At 33.5% G+C, this 20,218-nt stretch overlaps 1 long non-coding RNA gene across 1 annotated transcript in view; it reads left to right on the forward strand.

Annotated features, from left to right (window-relative positions):
- The window catches only part of LINC02477 (long intergenic non-protein coding RNA 2477), a 34,676-nt gene that overhangs the window by 7,133 nt on the left and 7,325 nt on the right, over window positions 1–20,218 (forward strand). The window contains exons 4-6 of the long non-coding RNA XR_001741914.1: window positions 13,788–13,889; window positions 16,040–16,097; window positions 19,418–19,530. This is a non-coding gene — a long non-coding RNA (long intergenic non-protein coding RNA 2477). The remainder of the gene's footprint in view (window positions 1–13,787; window positions 13,890–16,039; window positions 16,098–19,417; window positions 19,531–20,218) is intronic.

Raw genomic sequence — 20,218 nt, forward strand, 5'->3', positions numbered from 1 at the left:
TTTATTTGTATTGATCTTTTTTAAACAATAGCCTTGGTATTCACTGATCTTTCTTTCTCTTTCTTTCTTTCTTTTTCTTTCTTTCCTTCCTTCCTTCCTTCTTTTTTTTTTTTTTTTGATGGTGTCTGTCTCTGACACTCAGGCTGAAGTGCGGTGGCACTATCGTGGCTAGCTGCAGCCTCGACCTCTCAGGCTCAAGTAATCCTCCCACCTCAGTCTCCTGAATAACTGGGACTGCAGGTGCACACCACAAGCCTGGCTAATTTATTTTATTTTTTGTAGAGACAGTCTTGATATGTTGCCCAGGCCCTTGATATGCTGGACTCAAGCCATCTTCTGACTCGGCTGCCTAAAGTGCTGGGATTACAGGTGTGAGCCATGGCACCCAGCCTGATTTGTCTTTATTGTTTTAAATGTTTTGTCAATTTCTTTCACTTTTGCTCTTCTCTTAACTACTTTATTTCTCCTGCTTGTTTTGGATTTACTTGATATTCACCTTCTATATTTTAGTTCAAGGTATAAGCTTAGGTCATTGATTTCAAATTTCTGTCTTTCTAATATAAATATTTAGCTGGGGCCTACAAATATATAGATACGTTGTATTTTTAGTTTCATTCAGTTAAAAATATTTTCTAATTTCCTTTTTGTTTTTCTCTTTAGTCTGTGGATTATTTACAAATGTAGTACTAAATGTTCTACAAGCTATATTTCTGTTATTGCTTTATAGTTTGTTTATATCAAAATTTGTGTGATTTCAATCTGTTTGAATTTATTTACATTATTGTATGGTCTAGAATATCAGCTATATTGGTAAATATATAACATGTACTTAAAAAATGTATATTATAACTTTGGTGCAGTGATCTATAAATATCAATTAGTTCAATTTGACTAATAGTGTTGTTCAAGCCTTGTACATCTTTATTACATTTTAATGTGCTTGCTACATTTTATACAGAGAGAAAAATGTCAAAATATCTTAATCTATTGATTTTTTAATTTCTCTTTTCTGTTTTATCAGTTTTTTTCTCCATGTATTTTGAAGTTTTTTGATTGTTATGTCTTTTTGATAAATTGCTCTTTGTATTATAGAATGCCCCTCCATTTTTATTCCTGGCCTTATTCCTGTCTCTAAAACCTACTTTGTCTCTTACTCATACACTCATTTTATTTTTCTTTTGTTTAGTGTTTGCAGGCTAAAATTTTTCCCATCAGTTTTATCTTTAAACTTCCTTTAATTGTGTTTTGCATAAAATTTTTTTTTGTAGATTATTTGAAGATTTTTTCATAGGATTTTATGTGCTTGGTTCTTGGCTTTTGAATCTAACAGTCTCTCCCTTTTAATTGGAGTGTTTGTAACATTTATATTTAATTATCAGATTTAAATTAATCATCTTTTATATTTCTATTTATCTTATAAGTCTTTTACTTTCCTCTCTCTCCTTTTGCCTTATTTTGGCTTATTATTTTTACTGCATTAAATCTTTAGTGGTGGCCTCATAGACATACTTTTTTTAGCATCTGTGCTATATTTTACCATATACAATTATAACTTATTATAGTCTACCTTAAAAAATTATAAAATTTTACTTTTAGTTTATAAATGTAGTACTAAATGTTTTACAAGATATATTTCTGTTATTGCTTTACAGTTTATTTCTTTGTATCAAAATTTGTGTGATTTCAATCTGTTTAAATTTATTGAGATTATTTAAATAGTTTTCTTACTTTTTTTGTTTTAAAACCTATTATGTATGTAGTGAATACTCTTGCTTCCTGTTATTTTAAAAATCACATTTTCTCTTTTCCCAAAATCTTAATCAGTATAGTTATGGGTTTATTAATTTAATTAAGCTTTTTGAAATGACACTTTTTGACATTGTTACATTTCTCTATTGTCTTATTTTCATTTCATTGTTTTATTTTGTGTTTACTTTGTTCTTCTTTATTTAGCTTTTTAGGCTGGAAATGTGTTTGTTGATTTAGACATTTTCAAAAGTTTTACTTAAAGCATTTAAGGCTTGGAATTTATCGTTAAACATCACCTTCACAGCATTCCCACACATGTTGTTGATATGTTGTTGATATGTTATTTAATTTATTTATTCATTTATTTATCTATTTATTTGAGATGGAGTCTCACTCTGCTGCCCAGGCTGGATTGTAGTGGCATGATCTCAGCTCACTGCAACCTCCTCCTCTGGGGTTTGAGTGATTCTCCTGCCTCAGCCTCCCAAATAGCTGGGTTTACGGGCACCCACCACCACACCCAGATAATTTTTGTATTTTTTAGTAGAGATGGGATTTCATCATGTTGTACAGGCTGGTCTCAAACTCGTGACGTCAGGTGATCCACCTGCCTTGGCCTCCCAAATTAGTGAAATTACAGGTGTGAGCCACTGTGCTCAGCCTGTTGTTATGTTACCCTACAATGTAAACTCTGTGAACATTCAAGAACATTATGACTCTATAGTATATGTGACTTTCTACCTCATATGGTTGGAAAGGATACTCTTTCAAGTTTTTTACATTTTAGATGGAAGTGGAACATTATATAATTTTTATCTTTTTAAGTTAGCTGAGCACTGCATTAAAACTGTATATAGGCTGGGTGCGGTGGCTCATGCCTGTAATCCCAGCACTCTGGGAGGCCGAGGTGGGCGGATCACGAGGTCAGGAGATTGAGACCATCCTGGCTAACACAGTGAAACCCCGTCTCTACTAAAAAATACAAAAAATTAGCAGGGCATAGTGGCGGGTGCCTGTAGTCCCAGCCACTCAGGAGGCTGAGGCAGGAGAATGGCGTGAACCCGGGAGGCGGAGCTTGCAGTGAGCTGAGATCGTGCCACTGCACTCCAGCCTGGGTGACAGAGCGAGACTCCGTCTAAAAAACAATAAAGAAAAAAAACCCTGTATATATTGTTCCTGTTGTAAACATACCATTTACCCTAGAAAGAATAGTCCTCCTGTGATTGTGTAGTATTTCTTAAATCTGAATTTGGTCAAAGTATTTGGTAATGTTGGTCCATATATATTTTTATTTGTTTTTCCAGTTCCATTTATTGCCCAGAAAAGGTATATGTAAAATGACTAAACATATTTATGGACATATCTCCTCCTTCCTTTGATTCTGTCCATTTTATATTTTTTCTTGTAGTTTCAAGCTCTGTTATTAGGCACATGTACAATCATGTTTGTTAAGTCTTCATGATGAACTGAACTTTAATTTTTATGAGGTGCTCCTCTTATCTCAGGTAGTATTTTAACATAATTTTTCTGTGATTAATGTGGTCACTGCAGCTATCATGTGTCTACTATTTGCATGGTATAACAACTCGGAATGTGTACTTTTGTCCTATGTGTATTTTTATTATTATAATGCATTTTTAGGTGACCATTACTTGGGTCTCACTTTTTTATTTATTGTGACAACATTTGCATTTTAGTTGGTATACTCTGTTAAATAATATTTAATGTAATTTTCGAACTGTTGGATTGAAGTCTCCAAGTTTTCTATGCATTTTTCTGTTAGCCTTTTCTGGTTTCAGTTCCATTGTTCTCCCCTTCTGTCTTAAGTTAGGTTATTTTAAATATTGCTTTTAATTTATCTGTTGGATATTTAGATATACTTTTTTACCATGTAATTAAAAAATATTTGTTCTAGTGATTTCCGTATACATGCTTACTTTTCACAGTCTAACTAGAGTTGGCTTTATACTACATCATGCAAAAATAATAAATGTTGAACAACAGAGGTAAGTCTATACTCATCCTTTATGAAATGGTGCATTTACCATATTTATATTCTTAGAGTACAAATCTGCTGAAAATTAATTATTTCAATTTTACTGTATCAGTAAATCTCTTTAATTTCCTTCTATTCTGGAAGGATATTTCATTGGATGTAGAATATTGGGTTAACAGAGTTTTCTTCTTGCTGTTTTCACTCAGCACTTTAAAGTAATTGTAGCAAGTCTCTGTCCTCAATTATTTGTGATGAGAAGTCAGTTGTTATTGAAATTTATCTATTGAATATTTGACACCCTTATAAAAATTGTCTGAATTGCTCTGTCTCCAACATTCTTAGATAGATTGCATATATATTTTGTTATTGTTATAGTTGTTATATCAGGCTTCTGTCAGAGAGGCAAAGTCAGTAGGAGCTATTCAGAGATTTGGTACAATATTGTAGGTATGATATCTTTATGTTCTGGCTGCTTTCACAGTTTTCTCATCATCTTTGGTTTGTGGCAGTCTGATTATTGTGTGCTTAACTGAGTTTTGCGGATTTTTTTCTTGTTTTGCTTGTGTGTTTTTTTTCATATTTTCTGTATAATGATAGCGTCATTTCCTGGATTTTTGAATTTATACCTTTCACTAAATTTCAGAAATTTTTTATTGCTTTCTCAAATAGTGCCCTTTAATATCTCTCTTCTGTTCTGAGAACTCAACTACCCATAAGTAAAACATTCTGATGTTGTTCTAGATGCTTTGAGAATTTTTTCATTTATTTTTGTTTTGTTTTTATTTCTGCACATTAGTTTGAATAACCTCTCTAAGCCTATCTTCAAGCTCACTAAATTATTCTTTCTCCAATTGGCTATAAAGCCTGTAATCTGTGGTTTTTAAATTGTAAATATTACACTTTTAACTCAATGTTCAACTGTAATTTCCATTTCATTCTAGGGGTTTTGTCTTTTCATTTCTTATCATAGTTTCCTCAGTGAGTTTCAGCATAATTTTAATAGCTGACTTAAAGTTATTATTTGCTAATTCCAAAATCTTGGTCATCATGAGGTTGTTTATCATATTTTGGTTCAAGTTTTGAGACCCTTTCAACAGTCGTCTGCATTGTTCAGTCTGCAGTATTTTTAGATATATTGTATATAATTTGTTATCATTGTGGTGATATCAGGCTTCTATTAGAGAGCAGAGTTGTAGCAGATATTCTGAGATTTAGTACAAGAAATTGGTTTATGTGATTGTGGGAACTGACTAAGCAAGTCGGATAGTCTGAGAGTGTGAGCAAGATGAAAGTCTAGGGGAATAGGACAAAGCTGCTGTTCACAGGCATAATTTCTCTTCTTTTTTGAGGAAGCCTCATCCGGCTTTAAATCCTTTTAACTGATTGAATCAGGCCCACCTAGATTACATAGTGTAATCCTCCTTAAAATTGCCTAATTTGAGGCTTGAATTACATCTGTAGAATACATTCAATCAACACCTCGATTAGAGTTTTGATTGAATATCTAGGGACTTTAGAGTAACCAAGTAGACATATCAAAAAAACCATCACAATTTTTTTGTTCTTTTTTCAGGATTTTAGTTATTATTTTTGGAAGGGTATGTCTGATAGGAGAAACTTAATTATCACTGAAGAGCAAACTCTTTAATTACTTTTTAATTTCACTTTTCTTTCTGATGTTTTAGCTTTCTTGGCTTTACTTAGTTTTCCGTAGAATCTTATCCTGTCTGTGCTCTTTCCAAATTCATCTACATTTTGTGATTATTTTATTTTTTGTTTCTTATTTGTACTAAGCTCTTTTAGCTTTGTTTTTATCTCACTCTCTTTTTTAAAATTTCCCTATTTTCTCTCTTTGTTTTATGCCTCTGAATTTTTATTTCTGTTTTGTGTTGTTGATTCATAAGTCAATTTAATTCTTTTAGTTCTTTTAATTTATTAGAAAATAGCTACACAAAATATATCTACCACATTTGGTAGCATTTTCATATGAGGTAGCTTGTCTGCTTTTTGCTTCTTTTCATACTTTCCTTTTTTACGTGATGGCTTTTAAAAAATGGAACCTCAAATGCACAAAATTGGATTATTTATAATACTGTGTTCATAACCCATTTTTAAAATTAGTTTTTGCATGGGTCATTTTTGTCTAGTTAAGAATTTAAGTTTAATAATATAAAATAGGCACCCAAAAGACCATATCCGAAATGTGAGATAGGATATTGAAAGTAAGACATATCTTACTACTGCCAACCCATCTCCTGCTTCCTCTCAGCTTTAGACCAGGAGTTAACAAACCACAACCTATAGGGTGGACATCTGCTTTACAAATGAAGTTTATGTCTGTATTGTCCGTGCTTGCATTCCGAGTTGCATAATTGCAATGGAGACCATTTAGTCCACAAGCTAAATTAGTTACAATCAAACTCTTTAAGGAAGTTGGGGGACCATGCATTAAAAAGCTTTATAGTTTATTTGGTTTTGATGAATTTTTAACTCATTCCTAAGTTGCACATGCATACTTTGGTTGTTTTTAACTTTATAAAATGAATAGCATTATATAAGTATTCTTTTGTGTAGTATTTTCCCCTATAATTATATTATAAAAATCCATCTATATTAATGTGAATTATTTAAATTCACTCATTATTATTGGTGTATATTCTGTTGTGTAAATATTTCACAATTTATTAATTTACTCTCCTTTTGAAGGAGACATTTTCTGGATTTTGGTGTTATGAAAATTTCTGCACTTTCAGCTGTGACATGACTGTTAACTAATTCAACTGAAACTAGAATATATATTGAGATTTTTTTCTCCTTATCTTTTAGTAAATATATTATTTTCAGTATTACAAAGAAATGTAACAACTTCAGAGAAATGTTTACGTTTAATATTCAAGTGACTACAGTTTTAATGTTAATGTATAATGATCTGTACACATGAAAATATTTAAACAGTTGATTTCTATTAAGGCCTTTATAAACATATTCATTTTTTGAAAAAAATTTATAAAAATTTATCTTTATTTTCTAAACTGGATCATATTAATTTAAATTGTTTATATATTTCCCCCCAAAAAACTCCAGCTTGTGATTACAGCTCTAAACAAATCCTGAAGTTCTTATGAAGAATTTCCATCTCAATAGTTGGATTCACTATAGTCACATCTTCGTTTGTATTTACTTTGTAAAATGTAGAAAACTTTCATTTAGATTTAAATATTTATTGGAAAAGTTAATGGTTCATGATTGTTATGAGCACTGTAGAAATCAAAATATGGCAACTATTTGAGAAATAAAATACACATTTTTAGAACTCAAGTGAAGTTGATATCAAATATAGATTTAGAAGTTTCTCTTATTCAGTAGAAAACACTTCATTATTTGGAGTGGTAAAACACAATTTTGAAATCTGTTTTGCACTGTACACAAGCAATTTCTCCTGATTAGTAATTTACACAAAGTACTATAAAACACAAGTTTTGTTGCTGTGCAAACAGGGTATCTTTTTATAATATATTTGAACAAATTATATCCATATGCAATTTCCATTGTATATTTTATATTTAAATAAAAACTAATTAGTCATAAAATGTAATAAGACATCATATTTTATTACTGAACTTTAATTATTATGATTTTTGTGTGTTAACTTAATGACCAGAAATAATTAAGTAAAGCTAATTAAATCCTACACATGTTATGGATTATGCTATTTGGTTGGATATCCAAGATAAAAATCACAACATTCGTAAGAGCTATTTTCAGTTTTGTAAAACAACTAATATTTTGAAGCAATAGATACGCCTTTCTTTTTCATATATGATGAAACTTCTAAAGAATTAACTCTCACATTTTAATAGCTGTGCTTTGATATGCATCTGCTCATGAATGGCTGTAACAAATTATTTCTTATTATGATTTGAATATATGCTTGAATCCGCTGAACTAGACAATTCAGATCTTAAGTTCATTCATTGCATGGGCATGTGCTCAGGGAGGATACAAGTTATCTATATTATACCTACAGCATTGTGCATTATACTTAAAATAATGGAAGTATAATTTAACCAATAGTGGTCAAGTATTTTTTGCTGATGGATCTCTTTTTCTCAAGCATATCTAAGTTTTTGAAACTTTAAATGATTATTTTCTATTAGCTCTTATTATGAAATCTTCATCTGTTGCTTTAAGAGATTATCTACCACTGGGTATGGTCACAGCATGCCTGTAACCCCAGATACTCAGGAGGCCGAGCAGGAGAATGGCTTGAGCCCAGGAGTTGGAAACCAGCCTGGACAATATAGCAAGACCCCATATGAAAAAGATATTTTTTAAAAAAGATGCTCTCAATAAAATTTGGAATCTTTCTGGAAATTACTCTATGGCACTTTCAGGTATTTTTCATTCTCTGTGTTAGATATTTTTGAATCACAGTCATTTTCTCTGTTCTATTTACTCTGAAACATTTTTCACACTTAACACTTGTATCTTTCATTTAGGTCCTTAGAATGACTGTCAATACCTAGATTTATGTTTTATAATTATCCAGAACTTCACCAAAGATTGCTATGTCTCTTTCAGCAGCCTAACCAGAATATGTAATACTAATTATTACATATAATAATCACATATAATTAAATACATAATTGTAGTTTTCTTTTGCTTTAGTTTACTTTTCTACCAATCCAGTTTGAGTCTGGTCTTTTTCCTGATTTTCTAAACAAACCTCATTTTTAGATAAATATTATTTTGGGAAGAAGTCCTTTGAATATATTTCTTAGACTGAATTCAAAATACTTTACTGATTTTTTAATTTGAACCTCCAAAATGGAATAGTACCTATTTAATAAAAAAGAAACATTAATACCTACATCCAGTGCTTTAAATTATCTCCTGAACACTGCTTTCAATGTATCCCACAACATTTGATAAGTTGTATTTTTATTTTCATTTAGTTTTGAGTATTTTAAAAATTTCTTTAGAGACTTCTTATAATCTGTGTTTTTTTTTTTTTAGTAGTATGTGGTTTAATCTCCAAATATTTGGGGATTTTCTAGCTATTATTTTGTTATTGATTTCTAATTTAATTCCATTGTGGTCGGAGGACATAGTTTGTATGATTTCTATTCTTTCACTTCTTTTAAGTACGTTTTATGGCCCAGAATGTGGTCTTTCTTGGTAAATGTTACATATAATCATTAGAAACATGTGCATTCTACTGCTGTTATTTGTGAAGTTGTTTATAAATACCAAGTAAATCAAGTTGATTAAAGGGGCAACTCAGGTCAACTATATTTTACTGACTTTCTGCCTGCTTGATGTATCAATTTCTGAAACGGGGTTATTTCATCCTCAAGCATAATCATGGATTTGTCTATTTCTCCTTGCTGTTTCATCAGTTTTTGCCTCAGATATTTTCACCTCTGTTGGTAGGTGTATACATGTTAAGAACGATGATGTCTCTTTGAAGAACTAACCCTGTTTTGATTATGAAACATCCTTGCTGATAATTTTCTGTTTTCTAAAATCTGCTCTGCTTTGTCTAATATTAATAGTTTGTCTAGCTTTTTGTTTTATTAATATTAGCATGGAATATCTTCTTTTATTCCTTTACTTTTAACCTATTTATAATTTGTCTATTTAAGGGTTTTTTTTTAGACAACATAGAGTTGGATAATTTTTTTAAATCTAGTCTTCTAGTCTCTATTTTTAAATTAATACAGTTAGGCCATTGATATTTAAATTGATTATTGCTATTATTACATTAATATTTACCATCTTTGAAATTTTTCTAATTCATTACACTTGCTCTTTTCTTCTTCTCTCTCTTTGTGGTTTGAGTTGTGCATTATTATGTGATTGCATTTTATCTTCTTTTTTAATATGTCAACTTTACTTCTATTATAACATTTTTTAGTGCTTACCCTAGAATTAGCAGTATACATGTCCAATCAAAGCCCACTCACAAATAATATATTAAGCTTCATGTGTAATTAAGGTATATTATCAGGGAGTAATCCCAATTCCTCTCTCCCATTCCTTGTAACATTGTTGTCATTCACTTTATTTATTTATCATTTATTTATATGACATAATCATGTAGTATATTACTGATATTAATATTTCAACAGTCATTTAGATCAACAAAATATTAGAAAAATAAAATATTCTGTTTTATCTTTCTTTATTCCTTCTCTGATTCTCTTTCTTTAATCAATCTGAGTTTATGATCTATATTGTTTTCTTTCCTCTGAAGATTTTCCAACCATTTTTTGCACAGCAAGAAATTTGAGAAGTTAAATTGGCAGTTAATTATCTGTTTTTTAAAGTTTGTGTGACAAGGTCTATTTCTTGTTCACATTGAAAAATAATGTTGCTGTATGTAGAATTCTAAGTTGGTAGAGTTGTGCTCAATTCTCTTATTTGCAATGCTTGTAAAGAAAAGTGTAATATAATTCTTTCCCTTGTTCTTCTATATCTAAGTTTTTTTTCCTCTATTTGATTTAACATTTTTTATTTTCTCTATTATTATTTATTTATTTATTTTGTAATTTAAACCTGCTATACTATACACAGGTGAAGATTTTTTAGTAATTGCCCTGTTTGGTTGTGCTCTGAGTTCCAGCCATGGTTTGGTTTGGCATTAATTTTGCAAAAATCTCACCCATTATTACTTAAAATATTTCCTCTGCTTATTTCTCTTTCCCTTTCTTTTTTTTTAGCTTTTATTTTTGGTATTTCCATTATGAAGATGATACCTTTTGCAATTGTTTTACTGTCTTTGAATATTCTGTTCTATATTTTAAAATTTGTTTTTATTTTTGTGTTTCAACTTTAGTCATGTCTACTAATATTTCAAGGACACCAATTCAGTGGTGGTCAGTCTACTGATGAGTATATCAAACACATTCTTCATCTCTGTTACAGGTTATTTTTGTTTGTTTTTGTAGCATCTCCTTGTGACTCTTTTGTGGAACTCCTACCTCTCTTGTTCTTGCAGGCTGTCTACATTTTCCATAGAGCATTAAATATTAAAATTAGTCCATTTATATCCCCAATCTGATGACTTCAAAATCCCTGTTGTACCTGAGTCTGGTTCTATTGCTTTATTTTTCTCTTCAAGCTATGAATTTTCTTGTGTTTTAGCATGTTTTATAACTTTTTGTTGAAAGCTGAGCATGATGTATCTGGTAATGAGAACTAAGTTAAATAGCCCTCTGGTGTGGGTTTTGTGTTACTCTGGCTAGGACTTAGGCTGTGTTTTATTTCTGCTGTAGCAGTAGGTGTCAGAGGCCTTAATTTCTTCTTACATACTTTTTTTCTTCTTTATTGTCATTAGGTTTCCCTAAAAACTTATTTTTATAAATAAATTTTGCTTTTTGCAGCTCTTTCAGCTGTATCAGCAGCTGAAATGCTGCTATGATACTGGAGTTGTGTTCATGTGGTGATATGGTGGTATGGGAGAGAAGCATTCTGTAATACTATGATAAATCTTAGTCTTTAGTAGCCCTGTATTACTGGTCCTAATCTTCACAAATATTTTTCAGTTATTTTTCCCCACCTTAGTTGAGAAAGTAAGGCTAGAGGGGTTGGAATTGGGTAAGGCTTCTCCAATGTCTTTGACCTTGTTCAGTGGGCCTTTGCCACAAAGAGTGCTGAGGGTTTATTCAAAAATGACTACTTTTCCCAAGAGTATTCTTGGCCCTTTTCATTGTGAAAACAGGTGGGGTTACTGGAGGAAAAGCCCATGAAAGATTGGAGGAAAAAACCTAAGACAGAGTTCCAGAAAATTCTCACTTTCACACTAGTCCATACTCTGCCTCCAGCACTGAGTCTCAGTTACCATTTAAGTGTTCCTACCAGTTTATAGCTCTAAAGGATTTTAATCCAGATAAGCTGATCTCAGAGGTGGGTCTCTGTATTCTCTGGGATCTCCATCTTAGTGGTGTTAGTTTGCCCTATGACCTAAATATTCTGATAGCTCTCAGAAGAGTTACTGAGTTTCAGTTTGTTCAGTTTTTTCTTGGTTTAAGGACAAATGTGACAACTTCAAAGTTCCTTAGATGTCGACTAAAATTGGAAGTCATAACATCCATTATTTTTTTCCTCCCCCTCTGTTTGATTAATTCATGACTCAGCTGTGGTTGAAATTCTACTCTTGGTCTTTGAATTTCAAAATTACAGTCAAACATAGTATCATTAAAATAACAGGTACAATTTGAGAGATTATGCCTATGACTGACTAAATACTCATACGCAGTCACAGGAATGCACGTACTGCTAATCCGAACTCTTTCTTACCAAAAAATCAGCAGCTCAAAACGAGAAGAAAAAAAAATGAATTTTGAAATTGCTAGACAGCTAACCTAAAGCCTAGACCTCTGTTTATCAATGTATACTCTTGTAAGCCATTCAGGGCTTATAATGAAAACAATCTTGAGAAATTTTAATGTGAATCCCTCTGACTTTTCTACCTTGACCAAGGATAAATGTCCATAATTATCTCTTGGATCCTAAGGCTTTTCATTTACTCTTTGTTGACTACATCACCATCTTCTGTAACTGCATTTTGATTTGCATTTATTTGCAATGTTTGTGCTATCTGTGGACCATTTATGAGCAGAAGCTGAATAATTTTTTATTGTTCTTATTCTAATGCATCTCATATATCAGAAAAATAAGTATGCCTTATTAATGTCTGTAAACGTAATGCATTTCTAGAGAGCACTGCTTTTATGGCTTTGAGTTACTTTGATTTAGAGGGTTTAAAAGGAATTGCATATGATGTAACATATTTGAAAGTGTCTATGTAGGTAGAAAAGTTTCTGAATTAATTCACCTTAAATGTTAAAAATATTCTAGCTAAAGAGAATGAACTTTTTCCCAAATAAACAGAAAAAAATATGGATATATCTTTTGCCAAAGGGTTAGAAAAATTAGAATCATTTAATTACAAGTCCATGCATGTATAGCACATGATATATAATTTCTTAAGTATAGATTAATGCTGTAAATAAACTTCCATTATATAAATGAATAAATTTCCTTAACACCCCGTTATTGTACAATTCATTTTGGCATAAGATGATACTAGAGAGTATTTTCAAATGAAGCTCCATATTTCTAAAATATTAATAAAAATAAAATCTCAAAATGTTGCTTGTTGATGAAATTTCAAATATTTGGAAAGTTTGTTAAGTTACCTTGTTAAGTTACCTTGTTCTACCTAGTTGTTAAGCTAACTATGTTCTTTGATTATGGATGTATAAAATTCTTTAACATGATTTTTAAAAATTCATTTCCATTTATATTGAAAAATATAGTAAATTCGTATGTAGAAGAAATACATCAAACAATTTTCCCATTAATTTTATCTTATTCAGGTTGAACCCATTGTATTTTTGCATATTAATTGACTGAATATATTTGTAACTTACAGCTTTTATTTTTACTGCTAATAATAAAAATAATATGTTAGAGGCTTTGTATGTATTAAATCACTGAAACTCTCTGCAACTTTAGGAAATAGTTTATATTAAACCCATTTTATAGATGACAAAATTGAGTTAGACAAGTTAAGTAACTGCTCAGAGCTTTATATACACTAAATATCAGAATTAGGCTTTATCTCAGAACTCTTTGACTCCAAGATACAGGAAATTAAGAACTATTATACTTTCTCTATTTCTAAATGTAATACAATTCACACATTTTAAATATCTTAAGTGTCAATATCTGCCGTACATTAAAACAAGCTACATCAGAGAAAGTTTATTGTCTTTTTAAGTATTATTTGGAAAAAAATCTTAACTATGTACATATATATTTAAAACTACCTAGAATATATTTTCAACAATAGAAAATCAAATGAAGTAATAAATGCTGTGGTCCGAATATCTGTGTCCTCTTCAGATTTTTATGTTGCAATCTTAACCTTAAGTTAATGGCATTAAGAGGTAAGTCCTGTGGGAGGTGATACACTGATGGGGACATCCCATTAAGTAACCAGTGGGCTAAGGCAGCTCATTTGCCATTTCTACAGTGTGAGAATGCAGCAACAAGGTGCCAGCTATGAAGCAAAGAGCCCTTACCAGACAATGAATCTACTGACAACTTGATCTTGGACTCTTCAGCTTCCCAAACTGTGAGCGATAAATTTCTGTCATTTATAAATTACTCAGTCTATAGCATTTGTTATAGCAACACAAATGGACTTGAAATATTAGATTACAACAATTCTCACATTACCGTTGTTTTTCTTTTGTCTTTTTTTTTGAGGGTATACTCATAACAAAGTTTATATAGTGTAAACCAAAAATAAAATTCTAAGCCCCTCAACCAACTGATGGACCCTCCTCTTGGCCAAGGGCATTCCAAAGTTAACCTGAAAAACTAGTTCAGATCATGATGGGTATACCCTAGTCCCTTTGGAATTCAGGTACAAATGACCAGCATTAAGATCAAAACAGAGACCTTAAGACTGATAGAATAGACTCTTTAAGTCTGATGGGGAAAATTTATAATCTATTCTCTCTGAAGCCTGATACATTGAGGCTTCATCTGCATTACAAGAACCTTGGTCTACATAACCCCTTATCTTAACCTGGACTCTCCCTTCTATTGATTCCAGATATTTAGATAAAAACTCTTTCAACCAATTGCCAATTAGAAAATATTTGTATCCACATATAGCCTGGAAGTCCCCACTTCTAGTTGTCCTGCCTTTCTGGACCAGACCGATGTACTTTGTACATGTATTGATTGATGTCTTCTATCTCCCTAAAATGTGTAAAACCAAGCTGTAGCCCGACCATCTTAGGAACCTATTGTCAGGATCTCCTAGGGCTGTGTCATGGGCCAGCAGCTCCAAACCTTTTGGAACGAGGGACTGGTTTCATGGAAGACAATTTTTCCACAGACTGTGGGGGTGAGAATGGTTTGGGGATGATTCAATCACACTACATTTATTGTATGCTTTATTTCTATTATTACTACATTGTAAGATATAATGAAATAATTATGCAACTCACCATAATGTAAATTCAGAGGGAGTCTTGAACTTGTTTTCCTGCAACTAGATAGCCCTGTAACTGCCCACTGGGTTCACCTTGCCTGCTGCTTAGACAGAGTCAATTTCACAAGACAGAAGAATTGCAATGGGCAAAGAATAATTCACACAGAGCAGCTGTGTGGGAGACTGGAGTTTTATTATTACTCAAATTAGTCTATCCAAGCATTCGGGGAGCAGAGTTTTCAAGAACAACTTCATGGGCAGGGGAAGCCAATGAGGCAGGAGTGCTGATTGGTTAGGGATGAAATCCTAAGGAGTGGAAGCTGTCTCCTTGCGCTGACTCGTTCCTGGGTGGAGGCCTCAAGATCAGATGAGCCAGTTCATCAATCTGGGTGGTGCCAGCTGATCCATCAAATGCAGACTCTGCAAAATGTCTCAAGTACTGATCTTAGGAGCAGTTTAGGGAGGGTCAGAATCTTGTAGCCTCCAGCTGCATGACTGCAAAACCATAATTTCTAATCTTGTTGCTAATGTTAGTGCGGCAAAGACAATCTAGTCCCCAGGCAAGATTTGGGAAAGGGCTGTTATCTTCTTCGTTTTAAACTATAAACTAGGTTTCTCCCAAAGTTAGTTCAGCCTATGCCCAGGAATGAACAAGGACAGCTTAGAGGTTAGAAGCAAGATGCAGTCAATTAAGTTAGATTTCTTTCACTGTCTCAGTCATAATTTTGTAAAGGCCCTTTCAATCCCATCTGGGGGTGATGGAAGACAGTGACAGATCATCAGGCATTAGAGTCTCATAAGGAGCATGCAACATAGATCCTTTTTGTGTGCAGTTCACGATGGGACTTGGGCTTCTGTGAGAATCTAATGCTGCCTCTGATCTGACAGGAGGCAGCTCTCAGGCAGTAATGTGAGTGATGTGGAGATGATGAAGCTTCCTTCACTTGCATGCCCCTCACCTCCTGCTGTGTGGTTCAGTTCCTAATAGGCCATGGACTAATACTGGCTCATGGACCAAGGGTTGGGGATCCCTGTCATAGGTCATGGGTCACTCATATTTGACTCAGAATAAATATCTTCAAATATTTTACAGAGCTTGACTATTTTTGTCATCAATAGTAAAAAACATGGGAATTTTGAGTTAGGTAATATTCTAATTTTATATTCAATGTCTGTTAATCCATAGCTAGATAAGTTAGATGTGTTTCTTATTGCCTTTGTGGCCCCATGTTTTTAGTTTTTAAGGTGTTTTTAGATTTTATTTTTCATCTTTGTTCTAGGGTTACCAACTATATCACATAATGGTCCTAAGGATTAAATGAAAAAAAATGCAGTAAGGTAAGCATTCAGTGAATGCTTCTTTTCCTTTTTTTTTCATAAGGCAGGAAAATTCAAAGCACTGAGAGTGTGTATATATTTTTTTCTTCCTACCTTTACTTCTGCTTTGGTGAAAATAATTATATTTGAGGCACAAAGTACAATGTATTTTATCTTGTCATTGTTTTCTATTTGAAAGAAAAATTGTAGTACAACTAGGTAACAAATTAATTTTACTAAAATAATTTAATAATATTTATTTTATATTATTATGTGAAAAAAGTTCTCATCATGGTTAGGTTTAATATGTTGTATGATACATACAGTAAATAAGGTCATTCTACAAATATGGATAATATTTCAATTTGTTTTCATGTAAATAATACATGCATTCATACATATTTAGTGTTTGTGTGTGTGTAAACTTCACGTTTGAAGTGACATATTAATAACTGAAATTTTGAATCATCTTGTGGTGCTACATATGGAATAATAAGGTATATAAGGGCAATAATGGTTCAAATAGCACAGCATAATTGCATATGATTGAGCTCCATAGACATGACCCAAGAGATAGGTACTCTTGTAACAACCATGCAATAGGCAAGTGACTTTGAGAACACACAAAAAGTGAAATGACCATGAATTATATCGCCAGAAATGTTTCATTATCCTTATAATGAAAGAGAATGGAATATAATTTATAACGAATGCAAAAACGAAAGCTCTTCATGTTCTTCTTTGTCATTAATATGAATGAGACATAATGAACAGCAAATTTATCTTAGAAATACCGAGGTCACTAAAATAATTTCTGAAACACCATGCAGGTAGATGTTTGGTAGTTTCAACAAGTTGTGAAAGTTGCTAGTTATGAGCTGACTATTATGATTTATTTTCCACTGAAATTTTCTTAATGATTATTCAATATATCATATATCATTTTAGAAACCTGATTGAAAACTCCAACTACGTTTATTAGTCCGTTTTCACACTGCTGATTGATATACCTGAGACTGGGTAATTTATAAAAGAAAGAGGTTTAATTGGACTTACAGTTCCACGTGGCTGGGGAAGCCTCACAAACATGGCAGAAGGCAAGGAGGAGCAAGTCACATTGTATGTGGATCGCAGCAGGCAAAGAGAGAATGATAGCCAGGCAAACCAGTTTTCCCATATCAAACCATCAGATCTTGTAGAGACTTATTAACTACCATGAAAACAGTACGGGAGAAACCCACCCCCGTGATTCAGTCACCTCTCACTGGCTCCTTCCCATAACATATGGGAATTATAGGAACTACAAGATGAGATTTGGGTGGGGACACAGAGCCAAACCATATCATTCTGCCCCGGCCCCTCCCAAATCTCATATCTTCACATTTCAAAACCAATCATGCCTTCCTAACAGTCCCCCGAAGTCTCAACTCATTTCAGCATTATCTCAAAAGTCCACAGTCCAAAGTCTCATCCTAGACAAGGCAAGTCCCTTCTGCATATAAGACTGTAAAATCAAAAGCAAATTAGTTATTTCCTAGATACATTGGGGGATACAGACATTGGGTAAATACAGCCCTTCCAAATGGGAAAAATTTGCCAAAACAAAGGGGCTACAGGCCCCATGCAAGTCCAAAATCCAGTGGGGCAGTCAAATCTTAAAGCTCCAAAATGATCTTTGACTCCATTTCTCATGTCCAGGTCATGCTGATGCAAGAGATGGGTTCCCATGGTCTTGGGTGGCTCCACCCCTGTGGCTTCGAAGGGTAGAGCCTCCCTCCTGGCTGCTTTCACAGGCTGGCATTGAGCATCTGTGGCTTTTCCAGGCAAAAAGTGCAAGCTGTCAGTGGATAAACCCATTTTGGGGTCGGGAGAATGGTGGCCCTCTTCTCACAGAACCACTAGGCAGTGCCCCAGTGGAGACTGTGTGTGGGGCTCCAACCCCACATTTCCCTTCCACACTGCCCTAGCCAATGTTCTCCATGAGTGTCTTGCCCCATGCAGCAAACTTCTGCTTGGGCATCCAGGCATTTCCATACATCCTCTGAAATCTAGGCAGAGGTTCCCAAACCCCAGTTTTTGACTTCTGTGCACTCACAGTCTCAACACCACATGGAAGCTGCCATGGCTTGGGGCTTGCACCCTCTGAAGCCACAGCCTGAGCTCTATGTTGGCCCCTTTCAGCCATGGCTGGAGCAGCTGAGTCGCAGGGCACCACGTCTCTAGGCTGCACACAGCACTGGGACCCTGGGTCTGGCCCATGAAACCATTTTCTCCTCAGCCTCTGGAGATGGGATTTGGGTGGGGACACAGAGCCTAACCATATCATTACCCATTTAAATCCATAAGTGTTTTTGAGCTATTATTTATTCCTTCCTTGTATTTTTATTCTTATCAAAAATAACTTACCTTATTTTGGAAGAAATATACTTTTCAATCTAGCAAATGCTATTGGAGAACCTGTTCTATTTATATTTCAAATTCCCATGACATCGTATCTCTGTCTCTCTCTCTCTGTTAGGCTCTACTTCTATTTCTTTCTCTTTCTCTCTCTAATCTTGTTCTTTTTTGTCAGGATGCATATTTATTTATACAACAATATTTCTTAAATATTAATATGTAAAATCAACTTTAATAATCTTCGCATGCTCCCAATGGAAACTAACTAACTTCAAAGCAGTAATGAACATGGCTTTATATTTTTATTCAAGATACTTACGTAAGGTTAGATTAAGTTGTTTGTACTTCAGCCAAAATAAATCACAGATATTGTGCTTTATTTTTCATATTTTTAATTTAATGTTTATTATTTCTCTTAAATCTTAAAAAACCTGCCACAGTGTTCAGATAGAAATTGAGGTTTATGGTAGAATTTTCTAGTCTACATAGAAATAACGTAACATATTACTTTATCAATCATTTTCGTGAGTAGCTATTTCATCAACTTTTCAGACATTATCCTTGAGATGCTTACTTAATGTCTACTTTGCTGCCACCCCCTTCATATACCAGTGCAATGTCTATAAACAAACGTGTGAGTGCAGATGTTTTTATATTGCAGAAACTTACTGAGTATTTCAGCACACTATCATATAAGTGCATCTGAAGTTGTATTTATATATCCTATCCACGCTTCCAAAAGAATAAACAAAAAAGCTGTCAAATATCATGGACACATTCAATAAAGAATTATTTCACATCAGTGATAGGACCCTTTAAGGCAGCTGCCAACATGGTCATGGATGGTTTCATAGAACTCCTGCAATGCTAAAGAATCCTTAGCGCTTGCATTAGTGTTCATCATGGTGTAACTGACCAGTGGTTTTTTCTTGCCCCCTGTCCAGATAAAGCTGATTTATCAAGGTTGGGGAAATGCAATAAAGAAAGAGGTTAATAATTCACAGAGCCAGCTGAATAGAATACCAGAGTTTTATTTCTACACAAATCAGTCTCCCAGGTAATTTTGAGGCTAATGTTTTTTAATGGTAATTTGGGGGAAGGGGTGGGAGTGGCTAGACATTGGATGCTTGCTACTGATTGGTTGGGGGTGCAATCGTAGGAATGTGGGAAATGGTCCTCCTGTGCACTGAATCTCTTCTGGGTGGAGCCACAGGAGCAGTTGGCAGGTCCAAGTGGAGCCATCACTCATCAGACATAAAAACTGAAAAGATATCTCAAAGGGCCAGTCTTAGGTTCTACATTAGAGATGTCATGTACAGGAGTAATTGGGGAATTTGCATATCTTGTGACCTCTGCAATAATGGCTGGAAGTTGTTTATTTATACAGATTAGCAGAATTCAGGCTTCTCTATCCTCCTAGCCTGGTGGTGTCTCATTAGCTTTACAAAGGTGATAGAGTTTGTGGGAAGGGCTTTATCATTTAAGCTATAAACTAAATGTCTCCTGAAGTCAGCTTGGCCCAACCCCAGGAATAATTAAGGACAGCTTGAAGGCCAAATGCAAGATGGGGGTTGGTGAGATCAGATCTTCTCCACTGCCATAATTTTCTGTTATAATTTTTGCAAAGGTGGTTTCAATGATAACCCATAAAAAAGACACAGATTTTAGATAGTAGCATATGCTTAACTTTATTACTGATTCTTCTCTAGTTGTTCAGTAAATATCTTGTGGGACACTAATCAACC

This window comes from Homo sapiens, chromosome 4 (genome assembly GCF_000001405.40).
Source record: "Homo sapiens chromosome 4, GRCh38.p14 Primary Assembly".
Classification (NCBI taxonomy): domain Eukaryota; kingdom Metazoa; phylum Chordata; class Mammalia; order Primates; family Hominidae; genus Homo; species Homo sapiens.